At 51.1% G+C, this 15,478-nt stretch overlaps 1 protein-coding gene across 4 annotated transcripts in view; it reads left to right on the top strand.

Moving 5' to 3' along the window:
• SHANK1 (SH3 and multiple ankyrin repeat domains 1) overlaps positions 1 to 15,478 on the top strand; it is a 60,548-nt gene that overhangs the window by 33,612 nt on the left and 11,458 nt on the right. For all 4 annotated transcript variants that reach the window (XM_011527014.3, NM_016148.5, XM_011527013.3 and 1 more), the window contains one exon: positions 14,077 to 14,173. In XM_011527014.3, the coding sequence (XP_011525316.1) occupies positions 14,077 to 14,173 (97 nt within the window). The remainder of the gene's footprint in view (positions 1 to 14,076; positions 14,174 to 15,478) is intronic.

Genomic DNA, 15,478 nt, shown 5'->3' with positions numbered 1-15,478 from the left:
ACACACCAACCTGGAGCCTTTCTCTTTCCAAAACCCTCCTGACGCCTCTGTGCTTTAGGCTGGTCCTGGAGGGGCGACACACATCCTAGGGTTTCCTCCTTTCTCCCAACTTTGGAGACCTCCTTTCCTCCTTATCCCCTTTCCCTCAAATCCCATCTCTGTCCTTTTCTCTCTCCACTTTCCACCCCTGCTATTATACTTGAGCTCTTGCCCCGCCTCTTTGTGTCCCTCTGCGTCCCATCTTAAGGGTCTCAAGGAAGGCAAAATGATGTCATGGATGGAGATTCCCCGGCATAATAATAGATACCCAACACGTAGTACTTATTAAAATATGAATGGTCATGTCTGTTGCCACTCTGTCTGCCTCTCCCCACAACCAGAGGCCAACCTGTAGGGGGTGTTGATAATTTGGGGGACACTGCATTTTATTTTATTTTTCAATTTTTATTTATTTATTTATTTATTTTGAGACTGAGTCTCACTCTGTCGCCCAGGCTGGAGTGCAGTGGGGCAAGCTTGGCTCACTGCAACCTCTGCCCCCCGGGTTCAAGCGATTCTCCTGCCTCAGCCTCCTGAGTAGCTGGGATTACAGGTGTGTGCCACCATGCCTGGCTAATTTTTGTATTTTTAATAGAGACAGGGTTTTGCCATCATGGCCAGGCTGGTCTCAAACTCCTGGCCTCAAGTGATCTGCCCGCCTCAGCCCTCCAAAGTGCCGGGATTACAGGCGTGAGCCACCAGCCAGACATCAAATTTTATATGGATTATCTCATTCATTCCTTAGATTCATCCTGGGAGGTACACGAGGTTGTTAGCCCATTTACAGAGGGGGAAACTGAGGCTCAAGGAAGGAGGGGGGATTTTAACCCAGGCAGGCAGCCCTCTGAACCCATGGTCCTGCCACAGCCCTGGCTATCCTGGTAGGGGCCTGCTGCTCCCTTCCTGGATGTTGCCCCTACTCCACTGGGCTGTGTGCCTTCCCTCCAACACATCCCCCACTAGGCTTGCCAGTGCCACCCCTTACCCTCCAACTGTCTCCTCCAGAGGCCACGCTCTGCCTTGCTCCTCCCTTCCCGCTTCCTTCTTCTCTGCCCAGTCCCCATCCTCTGGCCGCATCCACCACGTAGTGGTCAGGGGTCCATTTACTCTAAAACTGGGTCCTTTGGCTTTTAGGGGGTCATGGATCTCTTTGGCAGGCTGCCGTGGTCCTTCTCAGAATAATGCTTATAAATGCATAACATGAAATAACAAAAGAGGCCAGTTACACTAAAATGTAGTTTCTCAAAATATTTTTCAAAAGCAAAATTTGTGATATCATAATATCATCTTTTTTTGTCAACATGTTAGACATTGGCGGTGGATTTTAACAACTCTAATTTCAAAATCACGAGGCGCATAAACACTATTTTGGGAAATCTGCACCACTGTGATGGGATATGGAGATATCTGTGATTCCTACTGGGGATACAGGCATGGGTCTTGCTGAAACTAGCATGGTTTGCTGCTTACATATTTAATTGAGGAAAGGTTGAGTTTTTGTTGGAGGATGATGAAAATGAAGACATAGGATTTTTTTTCCTGTACAAGTGCACAGGCCCCTGAAGTCTATCCACAATCCCTCATGCTCTGGAGGGGCTCGTACTTTTATAAAAATCAAGAGTAGGAGGCTGGGCTTGGTGGCTCACGCCTGTAATCCTAGCACTTTGGGAGGCTGAAGTGGGCTGATCACCTGAGGTCAGGAGTTCGAGACCAGCCTGACCAACGTGGAGAAACCCCATCTCTACTAAAAATACAAAAATTGGCCGGATGTGGTGGCATGTGCCTGTAATCCCAGCTACTCAGGAGGCTGAGGCGAGAGAATCGCTTGAACCCGCGAGGCGGGGGTTGCAGTAAGCCGAGATCGCACCATTGCACTCCAGCCTGGGCGACAAAAGCGAAACTCTGTCTCAAAAAAAAAAAAACCTTCTTCCTTATATGGAGTCCAAATCTACCTCCCCTGGGCTCTTACCTTTTTTGACCCTGTTTCCTCCTCCTGTGATCTTCTTCTATCCTCAACTGCCCTGCAGCAAACTTCTCATAATTCCTCAACAAACTTCTTCACAACCAGCTTTAAGAAGGAAAGGGCGGTACAGAAACAGAAAGAAAGACAGAGCATGCACATTCCCATTTTACAGAAGATGAAACAGTCTTAGAGATTTGCATTCACTTGCCTGAGACCTTTCATCAAGTGTGTCTCTCATCAAGACAGAACCAAAGTCCAAGACCTCTTCCTGTCCGTCATAGTTTCTAACATCTGCGCTGTTGACACAGTTGGCCCTCATGATTCCCAGATTCTGTGTCTGCGAATTTGCCTACTCGCTGAAATTTATTAGAAGCCCAGAATCAATACGCGAAGGGCTTTTGTGGTTATTCTTGGACAGGCGCAAAGCAGAGAAAATCTTGAGTAGCCCTATGTGTGGGTTCCCAGACGAGGCTGAACGAGGGTGCCTTCTCATTTCGGCTCTTATACTGTGAACGAGTGTCTTTTCTCGGTCTGTTTAGTGCCACGTGCTTTGCATCTTTGGGCCTTTTAGTGGTGATATCAGCGTTTAAAAGGTCCCCCAAGCATGGTGCTGAAGAGCTGTCTAGCGTTCCTAAGTGCGAGAAGGCCGTGATGTGCCTTATGGAGAAAATACGTATGTTAGAGAAGCTTCATTCAGGCATGAGTTAGAGCACTGGTGGCCAGGAGTTGGATGTGAATGAATCAACAATGTATATTAAATAAGGCATCCTTCAACAGAAACATGCATAAAACAAGGTTATGTATTGATTGGTTGAGGGAAATGTGTGGCAACCCCATATAACACAACTACTGCATATAGCCACAATTGCCTGTATTTGGAGCTGCGTAATTCTTTGTTGTGGAAGCCTGTCCTGTGCATTGTAGGATTTCAGCAGCACCCCTGGCCTCTACCATCCGGATGCCAGCAGCAAATACTGCCCAACGTCCTCTGGGGGGCAAAACTACCTCTCATTGAGAACCACTGCCCTGTATCATTCTAAGGTTAAAAGATTTTCAGGGCCGGGCGCAGGGGCTCACACCTATAATCCCAGCACTTTGGAAGGCTGAGGCTGGCTGATCCCTGGAGCTTAGTAGTTCGAGACCAGAGTGGGCAACATGGCAAAAATCCCATCTCTACTAAAAATACAAAAAATTAGTTGGGCAGATGTGGTGGCATGCACCTGTAGTCCTAGCTACTCTGGGGGCTGAAGAGGGAGGATCACCTGAGCCTCCGAGGTTGAGGCTGCAGTAAGCCACGATTGTGCCACTGCACTCCCACCTGGGCAACAGAGAGAGACCACCCTGTCTCTAAAAAACAAACAAACGAAAAAGATTAAAAAGATTTTCAGCCCCAGGATTATCCTAAGTGGACTTAGATTCAGGATGCTACCATCCATATTCACTCACTAAATTATTCAGTATTTATTGGAAGTCTGGAATGTACTCCCACTAATCCCATTTCTTCATGCCTCCCCCCAGTCTGTATTTTACACTCTCCTCCCTCTGAATTTCCCTCTCTGGGTCTCTAACCATACCCCAGGTGTTTCTGTTTGTTCCTGATCCCCCAGAAACTCTATATTAACAGACAAATGGGGATGCAAATCCTGACTTCCTCTAACTTAATTTGCCACCTTGGACCATGTTACTTAATTTCTCTGCATCTCAGTTTTCTGTTCTTTAAAATGGGGCTAAAGTGAAACTTGCCCAGTTCTTATGAGGGTTCCATGAGGTTAACTGTAACACAGCAAACTCCCAACAGAAGGTAAACCCCTCAGGATAGAAAACAGGCCAGGCTGGGCCGGGCGCAGTGGCACACACCTATAATCCCAGCACTTTGGGAGGCCAAGGCAGGCAGATCACAAGGGCAACAGATCAAGACCATCCTGGCAAACATAGTGAAACCCCGTCTCTACTAAAAATACAAAAATTAGCTGGGCGTGGTGGTGTGCACCTGTGGTCCCAGCTACTTGGGAGGCTGAGGCAAGAGAATCACTTGAACCCAGGAGATGGAGGTTACAGTGAGCCGAGATCATGCCACTGCACTCCAGCCTGGCAGTAGAGCGAGACTCCGTCTAAAAAAAAAATAGAAAAAAGGAAAAGAAAATAGGCCAGGTACAGTGGTTCACACCTGTAATCCCAACACTTTGGGAGGCCAAGGCAGGAGGATCACTTGAGGCCAGGAGTTCGAGACCAGCCTGGGCAACATAGTGAGACCCTGTCTCTACAAAATATTTAAAAATTAGCCAGTCATGGTGTGTGCCGAGGTGGGAGGATCACTCGAGCAAGGGAGGTCAAAGCTGCAGTGAGCCATGCTTGCGCCACTGAGCTCCAGCCTGGGCAACAGAATGAGACCTGTCTCAATAAATACATAAATTAATTCACTGAAATAAAATAAACTAGAAAGTCCACCATGGCTCACCAGTGATCTCTGTGTATGCCTCCAGAGACCCCGCAACACCAGAGACCCCACAATAGCGTATCAGACTGAGTGTAAATCTCTGATAAACTAATTAGAGCAAGTCCTGTTTTCATTAATTCAACAAATGCGCAGAGCTCCTGTAAAGTGCCAGGCAGCCACAGTTCTAGGTCTACCCTGCACGAACCCAGTTACAGGACAGTCAAGAGCCTAACCCTCAGGGAACTCACCCTCTGAGCTCCAAAGACCTCCACCCCCAGAGGAGCCCAGACACCAGCCAGTAATAAAACCAGCTGCCCACCTGCCCCTGCCTCCTAGAAATGAAACTCACAAGCACTCACCTGAGTTCTGGGAGACCTCCTTTCCCTCTGTGTCCAGAGGACCCATAGTCATTTGCCCTGTACATCCCCCTCGCCTTTTCTTCTCTCACCTCTTGGATCTGTCCCTGGGCCTTCTCCAGGTCCCCCTCTCATGTCGGAGGCTCTCTCTGCCGCCTTCTCTGCTCCTTCCCACCTGCCATCTTTATCTTTCCCGCTCTCTGAGTCAATACAGATGCCCCTTCATGAGGTTTCTGCATCTTGGTGGCCTCTCTCGACGTCTGGTCTTGTTCTCGGTGTCTCGATTTCCCATTCATTTAGGCTCCTCTCCCCTCTTCACCCTGCATCTTCCCTCTGGTCTAGATGCAGTGGGGTGGGGGGTGCAGTACCCCCCGAGGCTTCTTGGATCAGGTCTGCACAAAAGTGAACAAGAGCAAAGCATTGTATAAGACGCCACTATCAGCCAGGCGTGGTGGCTCACGCCTGTAATCCCAGCACTTTGGGAGGCCAAGGCGGGTGGATCACCTGAGGTCAGGAGTTTGAGACCAGCCTGGCCAACAAGGTGAAACCCCGTCGCTACTAAAACTACAAAAATTTGCTGGGTGTGGTGGCGCACGCCTGTTATTCCAGCTACTCGGGAGCATGGGACAGGAGAATCGCTTGAACCTGGGAGGCAGAGGTTGCAGTGAGCCAAGATCGCGCCACTGCACTCCAGCCTGGGTGACAGGGTGCGATTCTGTCTCGGGGAAAAAAAAAAAAAGATGCCACTATCTAAGGACTTGGAAACTGGGAGATTTCAACCCTCTCCAAAGATGCACTTTTGCATATAACCTAGAGGAGGTAGGGACAGCAGGGGCGCGGAGCCCAGCAGATCCACCCTAGGTCAGGGCACCTCTTGGGCTGTCTCCTCCTAGGGCTCTGCTGTCCATCCGCCCCTCGGTATGGCTTTGGCTTTCTCTGGTACTGTCTTTGTCACCCGCCACTGATGCCCGAGGGCTCCCTCGTGCCCCCTCATCTCTCAGTCTGAGACGTCATTGCTCCCTCTCAGTTGCACTCCCCACTTCTGGGGTTCCCTCCTGGGGCTGCGCAGGCCCTCTCTGAGTCAGAGCTGCCCTCCCTCCTTCCTCTCTGGGCTCTTCCTGCTTCCCATGCTTCCCATCGCCCTCTCATTTCCCCTCTCATCTCTCAGTCCTTGTCTCTCCCCCTTCTAGGCCCCATCTCTGTCTGTCGCTCTTCGCCTCTCTCACTCTCCCTATCTTTCTCTTCCCATCCCTCCCTGTTTCCCCACCTCCCTCTCTCCCCCATCTGTCTTTGTCTCTTTGTCTCTGTCTCTCCATCTCTGTCTCTGTGTCTCCTTGTCTCCCTAGCTCTCTCCTTGTCTCTCTATCTCTGTCTCCTCATCTCTGCCATTGTCTCTCTGTCTCTCCATCTCTATCTCCCCATCTCTGCCTTTGTCTCTCTGTCTCTCTATCTCTGTCTCCCTATCTCTGCCTTTGTCTCTGTCTCTGTCTCTCCATCTCTGTCTCTCTCCCCATCTTTGCCTTTGTCTGTCTGTCTCTGTCTCTCTATCTCTGTCTCTCTTTTTCTGTCTCTCTACGTCTGTCTCTGTGTCTCCTTGTCTCCCTCTCTCTGTCTCTGTCTATCTCTGTCCCCCCATCTCTGTCTCTTCAGTTGTCTCCCCGTCCATTCTCTCCCCTATCCCCTCTCAGGGCTGCCTCCTTAGCAGGAGTTCCCCAGCCACTGGTCAGCGGCAGGACATGCGCTGCCACTGAGGCGCCAGACCACGAGGTGACGGAGAACTGGGCCTTTGGGCGGCGGACTGAAGGGGAGTCTGCCCGGCAGCCAGTGACGTCATGCAAGGCTGCGCACTCTGATTGGCTGTCCCTTCTGCGCGGGAGCGAATGCTCCCGTTGGTTGGTGGAGTTCAGGTGCTCCCTGGGGAGTCAGTGCGATGCCCCATCAGATTGTTATGGTTCCTCCGTCAGTCTGACATCTCTCCTGTCACCCTGACCCTTCTTATGTCAAGCTAACCCATTTTTGTCCCTTCTTCTTCCACATGGTGCTGAAGTGTCTTTTGTCAGCTTGCAAATCTGACGAGGCGTCTGTCACTCTGCACCCTCCTCTGTCGGGGACACCCCTCCCCCTCACTCTAACCAGTTCCCTGCCACTCTAAGCCCTCTCCCGTCACCCTGACCCCTTGCCTGTAACCCTGACCCCTCCCCGTCACACTGACACCCCCCCATCACCCTCACCCCTTACCTGTAATGCTTGTAACCCTGACCCCTCCCCATCACCCTGACCCCTCCCCACACCCTGACCCCTCCCCATCACCCTGACCCCTCCCCATCATCTTGACCCCTCCCCATCACCCTGACCCCTCCCCATCACCCTGACCCCTCCCCATCACCCTGACCCCTCCCCACACCCTGACCCCTCCCCACACCCTGACCCCTCCCCATCACCCTGACCCCTCCCCATCATCTTGACCCCTCCCCACACCCTGACCCCTCCCCACACCCTGACCCCTCCCCATCACCCTGACCCCTCCCCACACCCTGACCCCTCCCCATCATCCTGACCCCTCCCCACACCCTGACCCCTCCCCATCATCTTGACCCCTCCCCATCACCCTGACCCCTCCCCATCACCCTGACCTTTCCCCATCACCCTGACCCCTCCGTTTTCCCTTTGACTCCTCCACTGTCTCTCTTTTACCTCTTCTCTCACCCTGACCCCCACCCTGTCACCCTCACCCTTCCCCATCACTCTGACTCCTACTCTGTCACCTGACCCCTTCTCTGTCACATTGACCTCTCCACTGTCCCCCTGACCCTTCCCTGTCATCCTGACCTCTCCCCCATCACCCTGGTCCCTTCCCTGTCACTCTGACCCTTCCACTGTCACATCAACCCCTCCACTGTCACTCGGATCCCTGCCTCATCACCTTCACCCTCACCTGTCACCTGACCCTCGCCTCTCCCTCTGGCCCCCACCACCTGCCCCCGTGCCCCATGCAGGTGTTTCCCTTGCCTTCCTCCCCTCCTCCCAGCTGTCCTCTCCTGCCTGGACTCTGTTCTTGCTGTCCTCTCCAGCCCTGCCCCTCAGCAGTCCCCGTGTGCTTCCTGACTGGTCACACCCCCTTCTCCTGGCTCTTCGTACCCCTCCCATTTTATCTCAGGGTTTTTGAGCCACTCTGACCTCTTTTCTCCGATGCATCTTGAATCTCCTCCTTACTCGCTGGCTGGTCTAGGATAAGGACCTTTTCTCTCTGATCCACGGCCTCTTTCATTATCATCCAAATGGGTATAATCCACCCTAACTCACAGGTGTGAGGATCCAGTGAGGACACATACGAAAAATAGCAGGTAAAATGGCTCACACAAGAGTGTCTCCTTCCACTTGCCACTTCTCTACTGCCTTTATCTTTTGCAAGGTTCTGCTCTCTGATACCACACAGCTGCAGGACGGGACAGAAAGCCAAGCAGAGTATTGGTCTGTGGCTGAAGGAGGTGGGGGAGGGGGTCAGAAAAACATTCAGCAAAGTGGAGAAGGATTGAGCAGGCTGAGAAGCGCTTAGAGAAGAGCAGCATGGCAGGAAATCCGTCAAAGCAGGGATGCCTTCAGGCGACACCTCCTGAAGCCTGCTTGGAGCTGGCCCTGTGCTGTTTGATGGGGATGTTCAGAGGAACAGGCTGGGGTTTTGCCCTGGAGTTGCTCGCCACATCTTGTCAGGGTGTCTTGTATTGCTTCCAATGAGTTCTTCCTTCTACAAATATTTATTGAGCACCTACTATATCCTGGACCTGCTGCTGGGCTCTCAAGGTATAAGAGTGAATCAGTCAAACAAAGTAACTTCCTTTAGAGAATTTACATTTGAAAGAGGAGACTAGCAGAATTGGGTTCTGCTGCACCTGAGGGAGAAAAAGCAAATAATGGTGGCTTGACCAAGAAAAATGCTTTTATCTCTCTCTTGTTAAAGAAGTATGGGGGCCAGGCATGAGTGGCTCACACCTGTAATCCCAGCACTTTGGGAGGCCAAGGTGGGTGGGTCACCTGAGGTCAGGAGTTCAAGACAAGCCTGGGCAACATGGTGAACCCCTGTCTCTACTAAAAATACAAAAATTAGCTGGGTGTGGTGGTGGGAACCTATAGTCTCAGCTACTCAGGAGGCTGAGGCAAGAGAATCACTTGAACCCAGGAGGTGGAGGTTGCAGTGAGCCAAGATAGTGCCATTGCACTTCAGCCTGGGTGACACAGTGAGACTCCCATCTCAAAAAAAAAAAAAAAAAGTATGAGATAGGAAGTCTCAGGCAGGTTAGCAGCCTCCATGGTCTTAAAGACCCAGAATCCTTCTCAATTTCTGCTCCACCATCTTAGCCATGTTTCCAACTGCAGACTGGCCTCATAGTCCAAAATTGCTGCTGGAGCTCTAGCTATTGCACCAGCATTCCAGGTAGCAGGAACAAGGAAGGGCAGAAAGGCAGAAGGGCAAAAGAGGGCACCTTGCTGCCTCTTGAGTTACCTCCAAGACATCCCAGATGTAACACACAACACTCCCACTTGGGCATCCCGGTTGGCCTTCCTTAGTCATATGGCCACACCTAGCTGCAAAGGAAGCTGGGAAGTGTAGTCTCTCAAAAGGTGCCAAATAAGATTGGCATTTTCTTACCAAGGAAATAGAGTAGAAAGAGTATTGGGGTGGGCTGCATGCCTAGGGAGACAGACAGTAAACAAGCAAGCAAATAATGATGATGACTCCAAACTGTCATCAGTTAAAGGAGTTATGACAGAGTAACAGGAGGAAGCCTCTCCAGAGAGGAGACCTTGGAGCCGAAATCTGAAAGAAACCTGAAACTTGCAGGTCCTACCCACTCCCACCCTTCTATCACCTGTCTAACCTCAACTCCTACCCTTCAGCTCCTGGCCTCCTTCCTATTCCTCCTGAGCCTGCCTGGCTCACCTTCACCTCAGGGCCTTTGCACCTGCTGTTCCACCTGCCTGGAACACTGTTCCTCTACACATCATTATGCCCCCTCCTTCACCTCCTCCAGGAGTTTGCTCAAATAATACCTTCTCAGTGAGGCCTTCCTTGACCTCCTTATTTTATTTATTTTGAGACAAGGTCTTGTTCCGTTACCCAAGCAGGAGTGCAGTGGCACGATCATAGCTCACTGCAGCCTCAAACTCATGGGCTCAAGGGATCCTCCCACCTCAGCCTCCCAAGTAGCTGGGATAACAGGCACATGCCACCATGCACCACTAATTAAAAAAAAAAAATTGGGGGTGAGACAGGGTCTTGCTATGTTGCCCAGGCTAGTCTCGAACTCCTGGCATCAAGCAATCCTCCCACCTCCCAGAGTGCTGAGATTACAGACAGGAGCCACTGTGCCTGGCCAGCCCTTATTTTATTCTATTTTATTTTAGATGAAGTCTTGCTCTGTCACCCAGGCTGGAGTGCAGTGGCACGATCTTGACTAACTGCAACCTCTGCCTTCAGGTTCAAGTGATTCTCCTGCCTCAGCCTCCCTGGGACCGTAGGCATGCACCACCACGCCTAGCTAATTTTTTTGTATTTTTAGTAGAGATGGGGTTTCACCATGTTGGTCAGGCTGGTCTCAAACTCCTGACCTCAAATGATCCACCCACCTTGAACTCCCAAAATGTTGGGATTAAAGGTGTGAGCCACCGCGCCTGGCACCAGCCCATATTTTAAATTACATTCTCCCTCTCTCCTCCCTCTTACCTCCATCTGACCAATGTTATATTTTACGAATTTATGCTGTTTATGGCCTGCTTGCCCTTCCTGTGGGCTGGGACATTTGTCTAATTTGTCGTATCTGCAGTATCTGTCACAGTCCCTGGCATAAAGGAAGTCCTCAATAAATATTTCTGGAATGAATGAATCAATGAGACAAACATAGAAACAGACAGTCCCAATTCAGGAAGGGAAGTGTAGTGAGAGGCATGTAATACAGACCCCAGGAAACTCTGGACTAGAACCAATAGAGCTCTCTGTGATGATGAAATGTTCCATATCTATACTGTCCAATTTGGTAGCCACCAGCCACAGGTAACTGTTGAATACTTCAAATGTGGCCAGTGCAACAGAGAAATTGAATTTTACAAATTAATTTTAATTAATTGAAATTTACACTTGTCTTTTTGGTTGGTCTGTTTCTTTAATGACGCAGTCTCACTCTGTCATCCAGGCTGGAGTGCAGTGGCACAATCATAGCTCAATGAAGCCTTGAACTCTTGCACTCAGGTGATCCTCCCACCTCAGCCTCCCAAGTAACTAAGATGACAGGCATGTGCTACTATGCCTGGTTAATTTTTTTTTTTTTTTTTTTTTTTTGAGACCGAGTGTTGCTCTATCACCCAGGCTGGAGTGCAGTGGCACAATCTCGGCTCACTGCAACCTCCGCCTCCCGGGTTCAAGTGATTCTCCTGCCTCAGCCTCCTGTATAGCTGGGATGACAGGTACATGCCGCCACTCCCAGCTAATTTTTGTATTTTTAGTAGAGGTGGAATTTCACCATGTTGGCCAGGCTGGTTTCGAACTCCTGACCTCAGGTGATCTGCCCACCTTGGCCTCCCGAAGTGCTGGGATTACAGGCATGAGCCACCGTGCCCAGCAATTTTTGTAATTTTTATTTTTGTAGAGACAGAGTCTCCCTATGCTGCCCAGGCTGGTCTCAAATTCCTGGGGTCAAGCGATCCTCCCTAATGTTGAGATTTCAGGCATGAGCCACCACGTTGGCCTGAAATGTACAGTTGAATGGCTAGTGGCTGCTCTAGGGGGGCACTGCAGGCCTAAAGGAAGCGGGTAGCCGGGCCAGGGTGGAGGGCTAAGATAACAGAGCTTTCCCAAGCAGAGCCCAGAGCCCAGGGAAAGGATGCTCCATGCAGAGTCTCGGAAGTGAGAAGCGAGGGAACTGGGAATGGTTGTGAATGGCTGGAGGAAAGAGGCAGGAGGGGGTATAGTGGGAAGTGCAGGAAGTAAGGGTTCATCCCAAAGGTGCGAACTTCATTCCGAGAGGGCTCCCTTTCTCTGCACTTCTGGTCTCAAAGATGGAGAAGGGAGACACATGGGGTGACCTGGCAGAAGCTGGGGAGTCAGGGCCCCGAAGTGCCTGACCTTGGCTGATTCTCCCTGTTACTCATCTAACACTTGCTTGTAGAACAGCAGGCCCTATGCGGGGACCGGGGACTCAGTAGGAAAGGAGACTGATAAAGTCACTACCCTACCCTCAGGCAGGTTTCATAATGACTTCCATGAACCTTAGGCACTTTTGCCCTTCTGCATTAAAAAAAAAAAAAATAGGCCAACACGGTGGCTCATGCCTGTAATCTGAGAACTTTTGGGGAGGCCAAAGTGGGAGGATCGCTGGAGCCCAGGAATTTGAGATGAGCCTGGGCAACATAGCAAGAACTCGCCTCTGCAAAAAAATTTAAAAATTAACTGGATGTGATTGTGCCTGCCTATAGTCCCAGCTACTCAGAAGGTTGGGGTTGGGATCGCTTGGGCCCGGGAGGCCAAGGCTGCAGTGAGCCGTGTTAACGCCACTGCACTCCAGCCCTGTCTCAAAAAAAAAAAAAAAAGTTTAAATTTTATGACTTTGTTGCTGCAAAGACCGATATTATCCAGGGTACAATTTTCTCTTTTCTTTTTTTCTTTCACTTCTACTTTGAAAAGAAATGAAAACACTTCCCCTAAAAGCATCATGGGCCCTAGACACTGTAGGTGCGATGCCTGGGATACATCAGCCCCGCCTTCAGGGAGTTTCTAGGCTAGTGGAGGAAACAGACAGCAAGTAAACAAGATGGTTTCTGGGGAAGAGAGATGCTGTGAAGAAAATGGGACAGAGGGAAGTGCAGTCTGGGTAGGGGGCCGGGGAAGGTCTCGCCGAGGAGAACTTCGCGCTGAAAAGGAACTGTGACAATAAGAGGGAAAGCTGTTGCCGAGAGAACCAGGGCTCGCAGGTGTTCTCCAATGAGGGTAGACCTGGGGCTGACAGAGGAGAAGGAAGAGGTGGGGGTGGAGGTGGACCAAGGGAGCAAGTGGGAAATGGGGGCAGGGCTGGGTCCCGCCTGCAGGACCTGTCTTCGTGTGGGCTTCCCTAGAACGGGAGCCGGAGGTGGGGATTCCTGTACCAAGGGTTTGCTACGGGGGAACCTTCAGGGAGTGTGGGAGACTGGCTGGGGTTGTGGAAGGAAGTCAAGCAGACACGGTTCACGCTGGAGTGGGAACCCATGGGGTCAGGCTGGGCACCCCGGCTTTAGTGCTGCCTCGGGCCTCCGTATCCGTCCATCGTGGGCTGTGGGCTGCTCCAGGAAGCAGGGACACATAACGGACTGGGCGAGTCCAGGACTCTGAAGGAGGGTGATTCTTAAGGGCTGCAGGCAGGTGACCCTCCCAGCAGTGGGTGAGGGATGGGATGCTGCATCCAGGGGGAGGGCAGCTGCAGGGGCACCAGCAGTGCCTGCCATAGAGGGTCTTGTAGACCAGAGTTGGGAGTTTGGTCCCCTCTGATCTCCTCCTAACTGACATGGGATTTCAAGCAGGGGCAATAGCATGCTTTTTGAAAGATGCCTCTGACTCTTGTGTGGAAAACAGACTGGAACAGGGTGGGGGATCAAGGATGGCAGCAGGGAGATGAGGGAAGAGGCTGCTCCATCCCGGAGAACACTGGTGGGGACCTGGATGTGGGCAGTGGCTGGAGGAAGGAAGCAGATCAAGAGTCGATGGAAAATCTGCTTTCTTCTCCTTTCTTTCTCCTTCCTGCCCAGACTTGAGGCTTTTCATTCCCGCAGAATTCCCTTTCGCCTTCTTTTCTTTTTTTTTTTTTTTTTTTTTTTTTGAGACAGAGTCTGGCTCTGTCGCCCAGGCTGGAGTGCAGTGGTGTGATCTTGGCTCACTGTAGCCTCCACCTCTCCACCTCATGGGTTCAAGTGATTCTCAAGCCTCAGCCTCCCGAGTAGCTGGGATTACAGGCGCCTGCCACCATGCCTGGCTAATTTTTGTATTTTTAGTAGAGAGACGAGGTTTTGCCATGTTGGCCAGGCTGGTCTTGAACTCCTGACCTCAGGTGATCCTCCTGCCTCAGCCTCCCAAAGTGCTGGGATTACAGGCGTGAGCCACGTTGCCCGGCCTCCTTCCACCGTCTTCACACTGCTCTCCCTTACGGCAGGGGCTTAGGGAAGGAATGGGGGCAGCCGTATAGTGAAGCCACAAGCCTTTCTGCGCTGACTGATCTCTCTCTATCTTTTCTCTCTCTCCCCCTCTGACTGCCGCTCCAAAGTCGAGCTTCGATCCCCACCACCGTGCCCAGCCAAGTTACGAGCGTCCTTCTTTCCTGCCTCCAGGACCTGGGTTGATGCTCCGGCAAAAATCTATCGGTATGCCACCCAGAAGAAGAGATGTGGGGGCTGGGGGAGGCCAGGAACGTGACAGTTCAGGAAAAGCAAGCAGACTTGGAAATGTTCTGTGCTCCCAGAGAGACCATAGTTTCATCAAATTGGGTTAAGAGTTCAGGCTTTGGAAATGGGTGAACTTGGCCATGAATCCTGGCTCCCCTCCTTCCCAGCTGTGTGAACTGGGGCAGGTGGCTTGACTTCTCTGGGCCTCTGGCTCTACATCTGGAGAATGGGGATGCAGTGAGCTAAAGCCCCCGCTACAGCTTTCTGGTTGTTTCTCTTATACCCGATTCCATCCATTCATTCATTTTACAAGTGTTTACCAAGCGCTCCCCACATGCCAGGAATTGTTCTAGAATGGGGATACGTCAGCGAATAAAACAGACTAAAGGTTCCTGCCCTCATGGGCTTGCCTTATAGCAGGGGAAGACAGATAATGGATTATAAGGAAAATAAGCAAGAAAATTATCTAGTATGTTAGCAGTTGTACGTGCTATGGAAAACAAAAAAAAGAGTGGGCCGGGCGCAGCGGCTCACGCCTGTAATCCCAGCACTTTGGGAGGCCGAGGCAGGCAGATCACAAGGTCAGGAGATCGAGACCATCCTGGTTAACATGGTAAAATCCCATCTCTACTAAAAATACAAAAAATTAGCCGGGTGTGGTGGCGGGCACCTGTAGTCCCAGCTACTCAGGAGGCTGAGGCAGGAGAATGGCGTGAACCCGGAAGGCAGAGCTTGCAGTGAGCCGAGAACGTGCCACTGCACTCCAGCCTGGGCGACAGAGCAACCCTCTGTCTCAAAAAAAAAAAAAAAAAAAAAGAGTGAAAAAAAATAATGGAGTAAGGTAAGAGAGATAGGGAGTGCTGGGTAGGGGGCAGGGTGCAGGTTTGAGCTAAAACCTATAGATGGGCCAGGCACAGTGGCTCACACGTGTAATCCCAGCACTTTGGGAGGCCGAGGCAGGCGGATCACAAGGTCAGGAGTTCAAGACCAGCCTGACCAACATGATGAAACCCCATTTCTACTAAAAATACAAAAATTAGCCAAGCGTGGTGGCATGTGCCTGTAATCCCAGCTACTCAGGAGGCTGAGGCAGGAGAATAGCTTGAACCCGAGAGGCAGAGGTTGCAGTGAGCAAAGATCGCACCATTGCACTCCAGCCTGGGCGACAGAGCGAGACTCTGTCTCAAAAAAAAAGAAAAGAAAAAAAAACACCTAGAGATGAAGTGGGGAATCGTGAGGCTCCCTGGGGTTGAGGCATTCCAGGCAGAGCGAACTACCTCTGCA

The sequence above is a fragment of the Homo sapiens genome, chromosome 19 (assembly GCF_000001405.40).
Source record: "Homo sapiens chromosome 19, GRCh38.p14 Primary Assembly".
Lineage (NCBI taxonomy): Eukaryota > Metazoa > Chordata > Mammalia > Primates > Hominidae > Homo > Homo sapiens.
This window is presented reverse-complemented; position numbering and strand designations above follow the sequence as displayed.